The sequence below is a fragment of the Homo sapiens genome, chromosome 3 (assembly GCF_000001405.40).
Source record: "Homo sapiens chromosome 3, GRCh38.p14 Primary Assembly".
Taxonomy (NCBI): domain Eukaryota; kingdom Metazoa; phylum Chordata; class Mammalia; order Primates; family Hominidae; genus Homo; species Homo sapiens.
This window is the reverse complement of record NC_000003.12, coordinates 14912793-14929676: the sequence shown is the minus strand read 5'-3', so window position 1 is coordinate 14929676 and position 16884 is coordinate 14912793. Positions and strand designations below refer to the sequence as shown.

At 50.4% G+C, this 16884-nt stretch overlaps 1 protein-coding gene and 1 long non-coding RNA gene across 8 annotated transcripts in view, besides 6 other annotated features; one reads left to right on the top strand and one right to left on the bottom strand.

Moving 5' to 3' along the window:
• Window positions 1-16884, bottom strand: part of FGD5 (FYVE, RhoGEF and PH domain containing 5) — a 123884-nt gene that overhangs the window by 4895 nt on the left and 102105 nt on the right. For 2 of the 6 annotated variants that reach the window (XM_047447514.1, NM_152536.4), the window contains 7 exons: window positions 12345-12428; window positions 10844-10923; window positions 7660-7759; window positions 7129-7266; window positions 6502-6631; window positions 5539-5669; window positions 3479-3607 (listed from right to left, as the gene is read on the bottom strand). In XM_047447514.1, coding sequence (XP_047303470.1) covers window positions 3479-3607; window positions 5539-5669; window positions 6502-6631; window positions 7129-7266; window positions 7660-7759; window positions 10844-10923; window positions 12345-12428 — 792 coding nt within the window. Of the gene's footprint in view, window positions 1-3478; window positions 3608-5538; window positions 5676-6501; window positions 6632-7128; window positions 7267-7659; window positions 7760-10843; window positions 10924-12344; window positions 12429-16884 lie in introns of all 6 variants that reach the window. The other 4 variants (XM_047447515.1, NM_001320276.2, XM_011533422.2 and 1 more) reach the window with 3 other exon arrangements.
• Window positions 3741-4035: a silencer, noted in NCBI's record as "tiled region #15385; K562 Repressive DNase unmatched - State 12:CtcfO". NCBI's record gives its function as "represses a minimal TATA promoter and a strong SV40 promoter by Sharpr-MPRA in K562 cells {active_cell/tissue: K562}" and the evidence as "EXISTENCE:reporter gene assay evidence [ECO:0000049][PMID:27701403]".
• Window positions 5313-5492: a silencer, noted in NCBI's record as "fragment chr3:14965692-14965871 (GRCh37/hg19 assembly coordinates)". NCBI's record gives its function as "represses an EF-1alpha promoter that drives an FKBP-Casp9 reporter gene in an ReSE screen in phorbol 12-myristate 13-acetate-treated (for megakaryocytic differentiation) K562 erythroleukemia cells {active_cell/tissue: K562(+PMA)}" and the evidence as "EXISTENCE:reporter gene assay evidence [ECO:0000049][PMID:32094911]".
• Window positions 5615-9330, top strand: LOC105376963 (uncharacterized). 2 transcript variants are annotated; one of them, XR_007095829.1, is made up of 4 exons: window positions 5615-5700; window positions 6329-7376; window positions 8218-8368; window positions 9194-9330. It is a non-coding gene; the product is annotated as an uncharacterized LOC105376963 (long non-coding RNA). The 2 variants fall into 2 exon arrangements; XR_007095828.1 differs by lacking the exon at window positions 9194-9330 and having other exon boundaries at window positions 8218-8964.
• Window positions 6337-7536: an enhancer, noted in NCBI's record as "CDK7 strongly-dependent group 2 enhancer chr3:14963648-14964847 (GRCh37/hg19 assembly coordinates)". NCBI's record gives its function as "activates an origin of replication core promoter dependent on BRD2, BRD4, P300/CBP, MED14 and CDK7 cofactors, with strong dependence on CDK7, by STARR-seq in HCT116 cells {active_cell/tissue: HCT116}" and the evidence as "EXISTENCE:reporter gene assay evidence [ECO:0000049][PMID:35650434]".
• Window positions 8052-8551: an enhancer, noted in NCBI's record as "H3K4me1 hESC enhancer chr3:14962633-14963132 (GRCh37/hg19 assembly coordinates)". NCBI's record gives its function as "activates a minimal SCP1, AML or CMV promoter by ChIP-STARR-seq in naive H9 embryonic stem cells {active_cell/tissue: H9 hESC(naive)}" and the evidence as "EXISTENCE:reporter gene assay evidence [ECO:0000049][PMID:30033119]".
• Window positions 14087-14908: an enhancer, noted in NCBI's record as "H3K4me1 hESC enhancer chr3:14956276-14957097 (GRCh37/hg19 assembly coordinates)". NCBI's record gives its function as "activates a minimal SCP1, AML or CMV promoter by ChIP-STARR-seq in primed H9 embryonic stem cells {active_cell/tissue: H9 hESC(primed)}" and the evidence as "EXISTENCE:reporter gene assay evidence [ECO:0000049][PMID:30033119]".
• Window positions 14909-15731: an enhancer, noted in NCBI's record as "H3K4me1 hESC enhancer chr3:14955453-14956275 (GRCh37/hg19 assembly coordinates)". NCBI's record gives its function as "activates a minimal SCP1, AML or CMV promoter by ChIP-STARR-seq in naive H9 embryonic stem cells {active_cell/tissue: H9 hESC(naive)}" and the evidence as "EXISTENCE:reporter gene assay evidence [ECO:0000049][PMID:30033119]".

The following is a 16884-nucleotide window of genomic DNA, read 5'->3' as shown; positions in this document are numbered from 1 at the left end:
ATCTGAATAGACACTTCTCAAATGGAAATATGAGTGGCCAATAAGCACATGAAAGCAATCATGTGCTTAATATCAGTAGTTACTAGGGAAATCTAAATTAAAACAACATTGAGTTACCTCAACACTCCCCACCAGAATGGCTAAAATTTTAAAGCCTGACAACACCAAGTGTTAGCAATGATGTGGAGCAACCAGAACTCAAATTCACACACGTTGTTGGGGGAGTGTAAAATGGCACACCACTTTGGAAAAAGGCCTCACAATTCCTTATAAACCAAATATATGCCTGCCTTATGATCCATCAATTCCAATCCTAGGTAATGACCCAAGTGAAATAAAAATTTATGTTCCCACAAAAACCTGTATGAAAATGTTTAAAGCAGCTTTATTCATAATCACCAAAACCTAGAAGCAATCCAAATGTCCTTTGACTGGTGAACAGCTAAACAAAACTGGTATATTCACAAAATGGAAGACTACTCAGCCTTAAAAAGAAGTGAACTACTGCTATATGCAACAACATAAATGAATCTCAAAAACATCATGGTTAATGGAAGTCACACATGATTCCATCTGTTTGAGGATCAAGAGGCAAAACTAATCTATGGTGGAAAAGAATTGGAACAGGGTGTTGCCTCTGGGGACAGGATGATAGTGGCAATTTGTAGGTGTGTGCATTAATCAAAACTCACCAAATAGTATATTTGAGATTTGTGCACTTCATTATATATAAATTAGACCTCAAAAGGCAAAAAAAAGGTACAAAAACATTGAATTCATAGGGTTAAGTATATTTTGAAAAACATCAAAAAGTAAAAGGTATAGAAGGATGAATAGATAGGTACTTGATAAAAGAAATGTAGGAAATGTTAATTGTACAATCCAGTTAATGGTCATATGATAGTTCACTGTAAAATTATTATTATTATTTTTTAAGACAGTCTTGCTCTGTTGCCCAGGCTGGAGTGCAATGGTGTGATCTTGGCCCACTGTAACCTCTACCTCCCGGGTTCAAACGATTCTCCTGCCTCGGCCTCCTAAGTAGTTGAGACTACAGGTGCGTGCCACCATCCCTGGCTAATTTTTGTATTTTTAGTAGAGACGAGGTTTTGCCATGTTGGCCAGGCTGTTCTCTAACTCCTGGCCTCAAGTGATCCTCCTGCCTCAGCCTCTCAAAGGGCTGGGATTACAGGCATGAGCCACCATGCCCGGCTAGTTCACTGTAAAATTCTTTCAACATTCCTTTATGTTTGAAAATATTTATAAACAATAAATATAATAAAGAATAAAATGTTGAAAAAAATAGGCTGGGCACAGTGGCTTACACCTGTAATCCCAACACTTTGGGAGGCCAAGGTGGGAGGATCACTTGAGACCAGCAGTTCGAGAACAGCCTGAGCAATATAGTGAGACTGCCCCTACAAAAAATAAAAAAATTGGCCAGGTGTGGTGGCTCACGCCTGTAATCCCAGCACTTTGGAAGCCAAGGTGGGTGGATCATGAGGTCAAGAGATCGAGACCATCCTGGCCAACATGGTGAAACCTCGTCTCTACTAAAAATGCAAAAATTAGCTGGGCGTGGTGGTGGGCGCCTGTAGTCCCAGCTACTCAGGAGGCTGAGGCAGGAGAATCACTTGAACCCGGGAGGTGGAGGTTGCAGTGAGCCAAGATTGCACCACTGCACTCCAGCCTGGTGACAGAGTGAGTCTCCATCTCAAAAAAAAAAATTAAAAAAAAAAAAAAAATTAGCTAGGCCTGGCGTCACACACTTGTGGTCCCAGCTTCTTGGGAGGCTGAGCTGGGGGGGATGGCTTGAGTCCAGGAGTTCAAAGCTGCAGTGAACAGTGATCACACCACTGCACTCCAGCCTTGGACAACGAAGCAAGACCCTGTCTTGAAACAAACAGAAAATGTTGGAAAAAATAAAGATTCCTATGTATTTTTGATAGTCGCTTTTTCCCAGGACTGTTACTAAATAGCAAGTTGCATCAGCTCTGGGCCACCTCAGGGTACATGATAGGGGTGCACAGTGGTGTAGACAGTGCAAACCAGCTATCCACTTCATCAGAACCTTTTTTTCTTTGATGGTATTTGAAAGCTTTATTCCATCGCTGGAACAGGTTGAGAAATTATGTAAATTCCTCTTTCTAGAAGAAACTGTTTTGGAGTCATACTTAAGTCCATCATTCATTCATTCATTCATTCATTCATTTTATTTTTCGTTGAGATAGGGTTTCACTATGTTGCTCCGGCTGGTCTCGAACTCCTGGCCTCAAGAGATCCTCAGCCTCCCAAAGTCCTGGGATTACAGGCGTGAACCACCATGCCAGGCCCCTAAATCCACCTTTTAAAATAAGCTTATGCTGTCACTTCCATGACAACTGTTCAGTTTGTTTTGGAAAGATAAAAATCCCCCACAGTGTGGAAGACCCCACCTGTGGACACAGGCAAAGGCCCCTCAGGGTGGGGTGCAGCTTACCGGGTACCCAAGCCGCTCAGGCCTATGGCAGATCCCCTGTCTGCCTGCTTTGCTTAGAGTAAACAGATGTGGGGCCTTGCTAAGTGTTTAAGTATGGCTCCAAAGCAATTTCTTCTAGAAAGCCATCCTCTGTGATCCCTGGGAATGGGCACACGGCAACCTTCACAGTTGCAGGTCCTTCCAGAGGGAAGCTTCATGCCCCAAAGAAGGAAGTGCCTTTTGCACATTTGCTAGCATCTGTGGCCAGGGGAGAAGAGCCAGCCCTGACATGCATATCCCAGTGGAGCAAAGCACCCACCCTCTGCAGCTCGTCAGAATACATTTAACTCCCATTTTCAAAGCTGAAACTATGCCTGACCACCTAGAAGCCACCAGCTGGTGAAGCATGGAGATAGAAATGTTTCACATTATCCAACAGGTTCAGCCTGGGTCAGGGCCAGACAGCACCCTGCTACACAACCATGGCCACACATCTGTCTACTCTGGAAGTAAGCTTGATTTCCAAGGCTCTCTCACCTAAAGTAAGATATTCTATAAAATATAGATTTCAGTTTTCTTTAGAAGAATTACTAGAGTTACCCTATAAAAGAAATGGACAGACAAAAAGGGAGTAGCTTCCTCCACACTGCTGAATTTTGCCCCAAGCAATCTAAGCAGACAGTAGGAAGGTGTTTTCTTTTGTGGCATGGCTGGCTTGTTCCATCTTTGTCCTAGATGCTGGGCCTGTGCCATTTAAACACTTTGCGGCACAGCTTGGCATGTCCGTACCTTCTTATATCCACAAAGAAACTGCAAATTCCTTAGATTTTGAAGTGATATGTGGTTGTGTAGCCACAGCAACATTGAGCACATGGCATTGCTCACTAAAGACTTGACTGCCACCAGAACTGGCTCAGCAGCCAGGACTCACACAGCTTTGCAAGTGACAGGATGTGTGCAGGCCCCAGGGGGTCATTTCACAGGAGAGAGGAGAGGGGAGAGAGTGCAGATCACTACTACCTCACTGGCCATGTAGGTGTAGAGAACTTTGCCTTTGATGACAAACCAGAGCTTCTTCCAGTGCCGCTTGCCCCTCTTACACCGGCTGAGATAGCCACTGATGGCAGAGCCCTCTCCAGAGGCAGCCACCTGGCAGGAGGGAAGCAGAGCGGTCAGCCCACCCCGGTGGTCAGGCACAGTTCAAACAGAGCACAATTCAAAATGACACTGCAAACCATTTGGCTGACTACTTATACTGCTTTGACACTGGATAAGGTCTCAGGATCTATCCAGTACCAAAGTCAGCAAGATAGTGCTTCATGCTTTGAGAAACAGGATTTAATGAATGGACCCAGCTGACTTTGGGAATGCTGATGCTGCCCTCTAGTGGTTTTTCAGATTCTTGGTTCCCTCTCAACCTAAGCCCCTCAACTCAAGAAACTTCGTTCAGGTACTTCGGCGAAAGGTTCTTCCTTCTAAAATTAACTCTTGCACTTTCAACTTATCTCTTCCTCACATTTAGGGAGGGATCCTCTTTGTACTGTTGCCTAAAAGGTATTATAGTCTCCTGCCTAGTGGGGTGTGTGCAGCGTTAAGTCCTTTTATTATTATTACTACTCTTTGTGGTGGCGGGGGGTAGTAGTATTCTGTCCACAGGCTTTATGTGGTGAGGAACGCAGGCTTGGAGTTAATACCAACCTGGATTTCCCATTCAGGCTCTACCAATTACTAGGTGGTTAATGATGAGCAATTTGCTGACTTCTTCTAAGTCTCAATTTCCTTACTAGTAAAAGAGGAATGCAATGTAAAAAATGTGAGGTTTATACATATATGTGATTATGAAATGATCTCTAAGACAAATTAAGTGGAGAAAACAGAAGAGATTCTGTATAATATGTTGTCTTCTGGGTAGAAAAAGAAGATCTATGAATGTACATCTGTATTATGTATGTGCATGAAAATTTCCACAAGGTTCCATAAGAAACTTGATGGCAGTGGGATTGAGGGAGGCTGGGAAGGATGAGAAACTCACTTTTCATCATATGTGCTGTTTTGTACTTTTTTGGGAAAAATGTTTAACCATGTATGTGTTTTTTTTTTTTTTTTTTTTTTTTTTTTGAGACAGAGTCTTGCTGTGTCGCCAGGCTGGTGTGCAGTGGCGCCATCTCAGCTCACTGCAACCTTCACCTCCCTGAGGTTCAAGCGATTCTCCTGCCTCAGCCTCCCGAGTAGCTGGGACTACAGCTGCATGACACCACACCCGGCTGATTTTTGTATTTTTAGTAGAGATGGGGTTTCACTGTGTTAGCCAAGATGGTCTGGATCTCCCGACCTCGTGATCTGCCCACCTCAGCCTCCCAAAGTGCTGGGATTACAGGCGTGAGCCACCGCGCCCGGCCGTATGTGTGATTTCCAAGATTTTTAATTTGCAAAAGGAACAAGTTAATGGATAAAACTGTACCTATTTAAATTTTCCATTCCCTAACACTTTTTTAAACCCTTGCTACCTGCTACTTGATATTAATGGACTAACTTGGAAGCAGCTGATCACACTTGTGGACTCCTTGTGTATTCACAGACATACATTGGTCTGTGGTTGTGAATGGAAATACAGACATACAATCTGGTCCTATTTGTGGGATACAATTGAGTTTAGCCAGTTCTGAAGTTTCCTGCGGAGCCCATGGCCTCCAGGGACGTCAACACCTGAGCCGGGTTGGGACCCCTAGGATGAGGGGATGACATGGAAGGACCAACACAGGAATTTGGCTCCTTTAGAATGAAGAGCCCCCGTGATCTGTGCAGTCTGCTTGGGTACTAGATCTAAGCTATGGGGCAGGAGAAAAAGGAGAGAAAAGAAAGAGGAGGAGGGGAGAGGTAGAGAGAAGGATGGGAAAGATGTCGCCTAGCACCATCACTGTCAAGTCGGTCCTCGTAGCTGGGATGCTTCCATTAGGAATGCTCTGTCTGGAAGAGACTGGTCAGGCTGGGACAGGGCAGGGTCTGACTCCGTCTACCCAGGATGACCATGAACCTTCCAAATGCCCTACTTCCCACTTGGGTAGCCCTGCCTGCTTTACCTCTGTCAGGGCTGAAGGGACTTTCTTCTGCTTCTTGAAGGTCGAGGGGTTAATGCTCTGGAAGACGGATGAAAAGGCACTGCCCGAGAAGCGGGGTGAAGACAGCGGGAAGCTCATGCTCACAGGCCGCTCTGTAACTGAAAGAAGCCACATGGAAGGGAGGTGAGAGGCGTGCCTGCGGCTTGTCTTTGGAACACTGATTCCTGTAAAATCCCTCTAGGAATGTGAGCCATGGGGGTTAAGTGGGACCTGAAAGTCAAGCACTCTTCCTCCCTCCCTCCTGCAGGAACAGACAAAGGCTATGGGGGCTGGGGAGGGGACGCTTTTCCAGGGCGCTGGACAGCCCTTCACCTCCAGGCCTCCAGGTAGCAGGGACTGGGCTGTCTTCTCTGATGACCTTAGTCCAGCCCCGTGGAGTGGAGGCCAGGGAAAGACTTTAGTTTTAGGCCCAAGATACACCTGCTCTCCTTCCTGGGAACTTGACCCTGCTTGGGCAAGGCCTGTCCCTTCAGCACTGACCAGGTCTCTCAGGGGCCGGCTCAGCTTCCCAAGGCTCCTGTGTGGAACAGCTTCACCCCTCCCTGACCCCAGCTCCTCTGCTGCCACGCTTATATAGTCCTTAGTCCCAGAAAGGCGCTACAGGCACAGGCCTATAGGATACTTGACAAGAGGGCCTCTATGGTAAAGGACACAGGAGCTCCCTGCCTCTGTCCCCTTACACACACACTGATTCCTAAGCTTAGCTACCCACAGAGCTCTTCTTCTGGGGACACCGATCAATTTTCCACAGAATCCACATATTGGAAAATGGTGCCCGAACCTCTGTTTCCTCCCTCCATGGAGTGAATAACTCCCTCCAGGGAAAGCGGTTTCAGGCATGAACCATGGACCACAGAGAAGCCACTGGAGCCTGGGGAGAAGCCACCAGGCCACTTGGAAGAAGGCAAGTGGTCCCCAGGTTACCTCTCATCAGGCCCGGGACAGCCCTGCCCCGCTTCTTCAGCTCCCCGAAGCAGCCGTCGCAGACCTTGGCCATCCTGTCCTTCAGGTACTTCAGCGGGTACTTGTTCCGCGAACAGTTCCGGCACACGATCTGCAGGCCCAGGTGGGAAGATTCTCACCCCTCTCAGTGCATGCAAAGGAGACCTGCACCCCTCCCCTCCGCTCCCTCTGCTAATCCACCCACAACTGCCCCTAGGGAGCCCCAGGTTCTGATCATGGAGCTGTGCGTGTCCCCTACTTTTCCGGCAAGGCTTCATCTTGTTTCTGAGCCAGCGCCTATCTGCTTTTCTGATGAGCCCGCGCCCTTAACCACTACATGATACTTTTTTCTCCAAGCACAATAGCCACGTATGCTACGGTTTTCTGTTGAAAACGTGGTGGTGTGGAAGAGGCCTGGGACTTGGAGCTCTGGTTTGATGATCTATAAAATGGGAATTAGCAATCTGTTCCTCTCGGGTTGGTGTGAACATGCCTCACTCTGGGGCTTACAGTAGCTGCTGGACATCCCTGAGCCCCCGGCTGGGCAGGGACATGCCCTTCCCCCACCCCACCCCCATGCACACACTCACCCCAGATGCAGCGACTCACCTTGCCACAGGCGTGACAGTGATGACGCCGCAGGGTGAGGGAGAAGTCGCAGCCGCAGTTCATGCACATCATGACGTGTGTGACAGGCACCAGGGTGGGGGGCCTCTCCCCAAGGCTAACCCCCAGCCTCTCTCGTATCTGCAGCAACAGAATTGGCTGAGTAATGTGGAATGTGGCCAGGAGACCAGCCAGATGCAGAGCCCAGTGAGCCCTGCCCTGCGTCTCTGTGCAGGGTGTGTGATGTGTGGGTGAGTGGGTCTGATGTGAAAGGCCTCTCCTGCACCCTCCAGGATGCTCACCCTTGGTTGGGAAACAGCCAGACTGTGAGAACAAGACTGTGGGTGCTGGGCTCCTAGGTTACACGGAGGCCGCCCCTGACTAGGGTGGGAGCATGGCAGGGGTGTGGGGGGAGCCAGTGCCCCAAGACAGGAGCTACACGTCCATCTGGGTGTGAGTGGCAACAGCAATGCCCGCCCAGGGAACCCCAGGTCTCTGAAGCTGGTGGCCCGTGGGCCCTGCCCACCCACTCACCTCCACGCTATGGTGGAATGCAGCCAGCGCCTGGGCCTTGTAGTCCTCAGGGAGGGCTCTGCTCAGACAGCCATACCACTCGTCCCTCTCTGCACAGGAGCTGCGGGCATGGGCTGGAGTGAGCAAAGGCAGGAGCAGCTCTGCCTCCCACCCTCCATCTCGGCATGGATGAGGTTCTCACTCAGATGCCCCTTGAGCCTGCACCTCTCACACTGCCCAGAACCACCAGCAAAGAAGAGATCACCTGCCAGACTAGGTTTACGAGCAGACCACTGGTCCATTAGCTGTCCTTGGGTCTGTTTCTTCTTACACTGGAATAATGATATTCCCCTAACTCCCAGGGCTGCTGTGGGGATGAAGGGAGATGTGGGACGTGGAACCACATTGTCAACATTGTGCAAAAGCAAGAGACATTAGGAAGGCCCAGAGGGTCCCACACTTCAGGAGAAACGGGCTGGCAGGGGACAGAGGGCTGGGTACCTGTGGAGGATGAGGGGTAGGTGGGAGCTGGCAAAGGTAAACATCTGTGTCTCCCACCTTCCTCATCTCCCCACATAGCTTCCCAGACAGTCATCCAACAGGCACTTTCCAAGTCCCTGCTCTGCACCAGGGAGGGCTTCCTGAGTGGCAAGAGCTACGCCTGGGCTGGGTGCCAGCTAGCTGGGTGAAGTTCTCACAGTGTCCACTAGATGCCGCGCCTACACCACAGGTAAGTGTGCAGCCTGCCCCGGAAAGCAAGCATAAGGGCCCGCTGGCCTGGGCGGGAGCAGTGCTGCAGGGCAGAGGCTGAATCAGCATTGTGGGCAGCAAGACACCATGTCCCTAAAATGTGATGAATGGGTCCTGCGGTCCCCTGGGAGCTTCAAGTGTGAAGGGTCTGGACTAGCAGGAAGGTGACTGGCATGCTAAAGGCCACTGTCCTTGCCCTGGGAGATGGGCAGCCCCACCTGAAGGCCCACGTGTGGATCGTCACCACCCTCAAGTCATGGCCGGACTAACAGAAACTATTTGCTGGCAGCCTCCTGCCCTTGATTTTATCACAAGGAGAGGTGAGGCCACGACCCCCACCCAGGCATCACCTCCTCCAGGAAGCATTCCCTCACTCCTCCAGATGGGGCAGTCCCTCCTTTGGGTTTCCAAGCCCTTTTCTACTCCCTCATGCAGTAGACTGTAACAGATAAGAGCTCTGGTCCACACAGTCCTGGGTTCAAACTCCAGTTCCACCTCACCTGGCTGTGTGACCCTTTTGCAAGCCTCAACTCCCTATGCATGGAAGGAGCCGCAAACCCCAGCTCTAAGGGTGGTGATGAGGATCACGGCGGCGTCTGGGGCCTGACAGGTGTCCAATGCCTGTTACTGCTGTCATTACCACTATTAATTGTTACAGCAGTTACTGCCCTGCATCTGAAGCAGTTTACAACTCTCCTACCTGTAATGTGGGCTCCTGGAGAGCACAACAACGGCTAAATTGTTGCCAGACCTGGCACTGAGGTGTGGCTAATAAATGCTTAAATTTTTTTTTTTTTTGAGACAGGGTCTCACTATGTTGCCCAGGCTGGTCCCAAACTCCTGGCCTCAAGTAATCCTTCAGCCTCAGCCTCCCAGATTGATGGAATTACAGGTATAAGCCACCATGCCCCACCTAATAAATGATTTTAATGAGAAAATGCATCTATGAGAGTGCATGTGCATGAGTGCATTTAGATCCCATTTCACACTCAGAACCGCCCAATGCAGGATAAACCCCCATGTGATAGGCACTGCTGCCATCCCATCTCATGTGCTTGCTGAGAGTAGACACCCAAGCCCCAGAAGCCTTGCTGACCCCTGCCATGCACGTCCCTGGCTGAAGAGCTACTCTTGGCTGGAGGCATACCTCCCTGGTTTCCAAGCCCCCGAGAGCTTGAGCTTACCTTGCCCTGAAAGAAGGAAAAGGGGATGCTCTTTAAGGTCATGGTCTGAAGCCAGAGATGAGGATCCCAGGCAACCCGAGGGCCTGGAGAAAATGCAGACCTTTCTGATAGAAATGCCATGCCCCACTGTGGTCTAAATGTTTGTGTCCCCCCAAATTCAAATGCAGAAATCCTCTTCCCAAAGGTGCTGGTGTTGGGAGGCAGGGCCTTTGGGAGGTGATGAGGCCATGGGTGTGGAGCCCTCACGAATGAGATTAGTGCCCTTATACAAGAGGCCCCAGAGAGACCCTTGCTCCTCCCACCACATGAGGTGGCATTGTCTATGTGAGAAGGCACCGTCTTTGAACCAGGAAGCAGAACCTCACCAGACACCGAATCAGTCAGTGCCTTGACCTTGGACTTCCTGACCTGCAGCCTGTGGGAAATTTCTGTTGTTTATAAGTCACTCAGTTTATGGTATTTTTGTTTTTGTTTTTGTTTTTGTTTTGAGACGGAGTCTTGCTCTGTAGCCCAGGCTGGAGTGCAGTGGTGCAATCTCGGCTCACTGCAAGCTCCACCTCCCCGGTTCACGCCATTCTCCTGCCTCAGCCTCCCGAGTAGCTGCGACTACAGGTGCCTGCCACCACGCCCGGCTAATTTTTTGTATTTTTAGTAGAGACGGGGTTTCACTGTGTTAGCCAGGATGGCCTCGATCTTGTGACCTTGTGATCCATCCGCCTCGGCCTCCCAAAGGGCTGGGATTACAGGCGTGAGCCACCGCGCCCGGCCTGGTATTTTTGTTATAGTGGCCTGAATGGACTAAGACACCACACAGACAGGGCAACATAAGTGATGAACGCTCACTTATTATTTTTTTTCTCTCATCTTCTAGACAGGAACGCAAAAAGGCAGGCCACTTTATGAACAGCAGCACACAATACATTTTTTACTGGCCTTAACTTTTCGTGTTGCTGTAGAGACCCAATCATCCATAAAGAGCTCCACAAACATGAGACATTGCTATTGCCATATTTAAGCCATGGGCTCTAGAAACCCCTGAAGTTATATATAAAATTTTATGAGTGTGTACATTTTTTGGGGGGAGAAAAGTTTTTATCAAATTCCCCAAAAGGTTAAGAAACACTGAAAAGAAAAAAAGTCCTTTGACCCAGAAGGATACTTTGACCCAGAAGGATACCAAAATAAAAACAGCACATCCTTATCTGTTGTTCTGAACCTTCCCATGCTCACACCTCTGCCTTGTGCGCCATCCTCCCTCCACCTGCCCGTACCTCGCAGACAGCATCAGGCAGGACTCGGAAGTCTCAATCTTTAGAGCGTAGGGCACTTTCTCCATCACAGGGCGGCTGACCTGGAAAACCAACAGCAGCCTCCTTCAGGGTGGGGCAGGGAGGGGCAAGTGTAGACCGGCTTCTCCTGGCAGCAGATGAACAGAGGGACCATGTCCACCTACTGCCGTTCTCTAGCCTCAGGGCATACCTTTCTGTGATGGTAGGTGCTGTGGAAGGTGCCTGGCTGCCAGCTCCATCATTCTTGGCCACTCACCCACCGCTGGGAAGGCTGCAGAGCGTCATGCTCAGGGCCCAGCCCGGGCAACCCCAGGTGCACTGTCATGTTGGACAAGTACCTGCCAGTGACCACGTCTCCCATGCCTTTTTCTAACAGGCTCCTCGGTGGAGCCTTTGGTTCCAAAAGGGAACAAACCTCCATGCTGAGAAAGGTGCTTCCTCCTTCCCCTTCCCCATGGTAAAGAGCCTACAGGATCAAGAGAGATTGCACAGTGCCTCTCTCAGCTCTCCTGGCCATCCCTGCCTCTGCCCTTGACAATGACAACCGCCTGCGGCTCCACTGTCCCACCTCAGTGTTGCCCTCTCTAACTTCAGCCTCCTGTTGCACCAGAATTAACTTCCTAAAACCTCCTGCTCCTCAAAGTCCCCAACAGCTCCCAAGTGTTCCCATCTTCAGGACCAAGTTACACGGAGCTAAGCCCCACACATATGCCCATATTCACAGCAGTATTACTCACAACAGCCTAAAGGTGGAAGCCACCAGTGTCCATCGGCAGAGGATTGAATAAACACCATGTGGTCTATCCACACAATGGAAGGAAAATTCTGACCCATACTACAGATGACAGGGATCAACCTTGAGGACACTGTGCTAAGTGAAACAAGGATCAATACTGTGTGACTCCTCATTCGAGGTACCCATAGTAGTCAAATTCATGGACATAGAAAGTAGAATGGTAGGTGCCAGGGGCTGAGAAGGAGGGGAATGGAGAGTTGGTTTTTAATGTGGGCAGAGTTTCAGTCTGGGGAGAGGAAAGAGTTCTGAGATGGATGGTGGTGCTGGATACACAGCAATGTAAATGTGCTTAGTGCCACAGAACTGTACATTTAAAAATGGTTACTTTTAAAATGATATGTGTATTTTATCACAATTAAAAAAATTACCAACCACCTGCTTGTTCCCCCAACCCAGGCCCTTCCTTATGCATTTTCCTCCTCATAGGATGCCCCTCCTTCCCTTCCTTCCTGATCCGACCAAATATTATCCACTCTAAGGGTTCAGTCTCCTCTTCCAAGAAGCCCTCCATCCCCCTCCCCTTTCCCTGGGCAACTTACAGCACAAACTTGCTGTAGCCCAACACTGTTTCCGCAGGGCCTCCCTCTTCCAGCTGGTCTGGGTGCTCCTGGGAGCAGGATGCTGTCCCCTTCTCCCCTGGGGTCTCCCTGTCCCCCAACCCGGGGGTACCTGGCACCAGATATTTACCTTCATGTTGGCCACAGCCAATGTGTTCTTCAGCCGGTACTTCCCATCCTTCTGGGGATAGGTGTACAGGAGCACATCGTTCATCTGGAGAGAGGGAAACCCTATGAGAGGACCCTGGCCCCAGAAGGCTGCGCCAGGCTTCTGTCCTCAAAGGATCCCTGAGCTCCGCTGTGCACAGGCATCTTGTATTCCTCAGTAACCCCCACAGGTGAGCAAAAACGTTGCGGCCAAAATGTGAGCCCCTTCCTTGCCACTCTACTCCTGGTTCGATGCTTGAGAGGAATAAATGCATATGCCCTCAAGAAGTCGTGTGAGTATGTTCATAGTGGCTTTATTTGTAACAGCCAGAAAGTAGGGACAATTCCAATGTCTATCTGCAGGTGAATGGATAAACAAACTGGTCTATCCATATACCACAGAATACCTTATAGCAGCCAGAAGGAACATGCCACCAATACACACCACCACGTGGATGCATCTCAAAATCATGCTGAGTGAAGAAGCGAGGCACAAAAGAGTATATGCTGTTTGATGACATTTCTGTGACACTCCAGAATAGGCAGAACTAATCTAAATAGGGACAAAAGTCAGGCCAGTGGTTGATGGGGGCCCCCAGGGTTGGGAGAAATGAACTCCAAACGGGCACAGAGGAACTTTCTGGAGGTTGGAAATGTTCCACATCTCGACCCAGGTGGTGGTTACACTGTGATATACACTTGTCAGTACCAACTAACACATATGCTTAAGGTTGATGCATTTCACTATAAAAATAAAGCTCGATAAAGTATAGCTAAGGAAGGGTTGGGAGACACCCTGAGGACAGGGAAGTGGTGGGCCCTGCTTGCTGCTGTACTTCCAGGTCCCTTCACAGAGTAGGTGCTCAATTAATATTTGTTGAATGAACAACTAAAGCTCTCCCCACAGCAGGGCAGACAGAAAGACATGTAATGAAAGTCACTTTATCTCCTTAGGAGAGAGTATTTCTGGTTAGCTAAACGGTTTCAGGTGTGAGAAGATGACATCACGCTCAGGGTTGTAAATCCTGACCATATTATGGACCAGCGTTGAGACTATGACCAAGCCCTTTCCTCAGCTGAGTCTCAGCTTCCTCTGGGAAATGGGAGACACCACCACCATTACTTTATCGTGGACACAGAGAGAATGCCCTCTCTATATGTGACCAACATTAACCTGGGGTGAGCCCTTTTCACATGGGGCCAAATGAACCAGAATAAGCCCACTAAACATGGAGCCAACATGAACCAGGGGAGTCCTCTACACATGACACCAACATCAACCAGGGGGAGCCCTATGCACATGGCAACATCAACCAGGGCAAGCCCTCTCCACATGGCAATAACATGAACCAGGGTGAGCCCTGTACAAATGATGCCAACATCAGCCAGGGTGAACCCTGTACACATGGTGCCAACATGAACCAGGGTGAGCCCTGTACAAATGACGCCAACATCAGCCAGGGTGAACCCTGTACACATGGTGCCAACATGAACCAGGGTGAGCCCTGTCCACCTGGGAACATGAACCAGGGTGAGCCCTGTCCACCTGGGAACATGAACCAGGGAGAGCCCTGTGCACATGGCACCAATGTGAACCAAAGTGAGCCCTGTACACACGATGCCAACATGAACTAGGGTGAGCTCTGTACACAAAATGCCAACATGAACTAGGGTGAGCCCCGGACATATGGCGCCAACATCAACCAGGATGAGCCCTAAACACATGGTGCCAACATGAACCAGAGAGAGCCCTCTACACATGGTGCCAACATGAACCAAAGTGAACGCTCTACACATAGTGTCAACATAAACCAGAGTGAGCCCTGGACACATGGCACCAGTGTGAACCAAGGCAAGTCCTCTACACATGATGCTGACATGAACCAAGGAGAGCCACGCAGGCATGGAGGAAAACATAAAGTAGGGATGTGTAAGGATGGAACAAGACACTGCATGTGAAAAGTCAGAATGAATACTTCTTTTCCCTGGATAGACAGAGCCTGCTGAGGGAACAGAATGAGTTTTCCCACAGCTAGCTCTTCTCAGGACTCCAAGGTTCCAGCCATGGCAATGCAGGAGACTTGGCCCACCAATGACCCCCTCCATGGGACCTCAGGAACCCCTCCCTCTCTCCGGGCCTTGCTGTGTCCCAGTAGAGTTGGAGTAGGTGGGGGTTGGGGCACTGTCCTGTAGGGGCCAGGTATGGAATGCTTCAGGCCTCCGCCTCCAGCCCTCAACTCTGCTGCTGTGCAAAGCAGCCACAGACAACCCATGATGGAATGCATGTGGCTGTGTTCCCACAGAACTTTATCAACAAAAATCGGTGTCTGGCTGGCTTTGGCCTGCAGCTCTAGTTTGTGAAGCCCTGTTCTTGCCCTGCCTTCTAAGAGTGACAGGCACTACAGTGCATTGACACCGATTCTGCACCAGGCGCTGGACCAAAACCCTGACTTCACTCCCACAGTCCTAACGTGCACTCCCACAGTCCTAACGCACAGGCACCATGATCATCATCCTCATTGCCAAGAGGGAGAAACTGAGGCCCAGAGAGGCCAGAGGCCATGCCTGAGGTCACAGCTAGCAGGTAGTGGAGCCAGGGGTATGGCTTGATGAGTGTCCCTCCAGTGTGCTCGGGAGGGAATGTCAGGGCTGCTCTCACAGTGAACCTGTGCACAGGTTCATGAACCTTGCCCATGAACCCTCCCAGACCCAGGGAACTGACCTATGTCACTAGGGAGAGCAGCCCCAGCCTCTCTGTGATGGCCCCTCAAGTTCCTGCTGCCATGGCAACTGCCATGAGCACCCCGAGGTCTCCTTCGCCTTTCGGGACCAGGCTACGTCCTAATTTGCCCATGGCTCTCCTGCCTGCTTCAAAGTATATGCTTTACAGCCCCAGCTTGGAGGAAGGAGGAAGAGCCCATCATGAATGGGTAGGGGGGCTTCCCACTGTAAGAAGCCACCAGGGGGCAGCCCCACCTGCAGCTCAAGGACGTCGCTGCCTGGTAGACACTTTCCGCAGTCTAACAACACTGCTGGGCGTGGGCGCCCAGATGCCCCAACTCTGTTCTGCAGTTCAGATTATTTTCTGAAACTGGCACCTTTGAGGAAGAAAAATTCTTCCTAAGTGTGTTTGTTCACCATGGCACTCCCTGGCTTGAGCACCTGTCGGGCCGCCCTCCTCCCATGTATCCCTCCATTAGAGAGTTATCAACACTGCTCAGTGGAAGGGCTGCGCTGAGCCAGAGGAAGAAGAGGACCCAGCTTCAGACTGTGGGGCTGATGGCCTAATCACAGCAGGGTAATCAGAGGGATGCAGGCCTATCCCTGAGGGAAGGAGATGTTCTGATAAAGGGCCATGCCAGACGGGGGGAGTGTGGGGAAGAAGAGAAGCAGGGCTAGAGGAGGAGGAGGGAGAGGGGAAACGGGGGTGGTGGCTAGGCTTCCATAGAAGGTGCTATCTGAGCTTGGCTTGAAGGGGAGGAGCTGGCACCCTTCTCAAAGAGCTTCAGGTGTGTGAGGGCCAGTGAGCCAAGACCAGGGACAGATGAAGTGGAGGACGAGGTGAGGACAGATTGGGGAAAGCCAGGCTGTTGTGTCTGTTCCTGGCATTCAAGGTCCCTGGGAGAGGTGCAGAGATCAGAGGGGCATGGCCAGAGGAGGTGGCCAGATGCAAATGGCTGAGGGGCCAAGACAGAGCTCTGCCCTGTGCCATCTGCCGCCTCACTGCTTCCCTTGTTTTAAAGATCAGGGAGCTGAGGCTCGGGGAGGTAATGGGATGTGCTCATGGGTCTCACACCAGTAGCTGTCAGAGCTGGGGTCTGCATCTGGGGTCTGCATCTGGTCTGTCTGCCTCCCCATTGCCATCCGGTATGGCCTCCCTTTTGCGTCCTGAAGAGGGGGAATTCACGGGGACCCAACTCCCTGCAGGGCTGTGCTGGGGCAGGGAGCTGATGAGATCTATAGCTCTAGATAGAGAGGGAGGACCTGTGTCCCATGGAACAACTGTCAGCGGGAAGGGAGAAACTGTTACAACTACTATCAGATAAGCGGCTTCTACCTGCCAGGCATGTAATTAAATGCCAGGAATTTAATTCTCAAAACCACCCAGTCTTTCCACTTTCCTGGGGGGAGACTTGAGGCTCGCACATGTCTGTGAGTTGTCTAAGGGTCACAGAAGTAGTAAGTGTACCATGGAGCAGGATCTAACCAGCTCTGTCTGGCTCATTACCTGCCCCTACATTTGGGGATTTCTCTCAATGGAGAGAATTTTTTTTTTTTTTGAGATGGAATCTCACTCTGTCGCCCAGGCTGGAGTGTAATGGCGCAATCTGAGCTCACTGCAACCCCCACCTCCTGGGTTCAAGCAATTCTCCTGCCTCTGCCTCCTGAGTAGCTAGGACTACAGGGACACGCCACCATGCCTGGCTCATTTTTTGTATTTTTAGTAGAGATGGGGTTTCACCATGTTCACCAGGCTGGTCTTGAACTCCAGACCTTGTGACCCGCCTGCCTCGGCCTCCCAA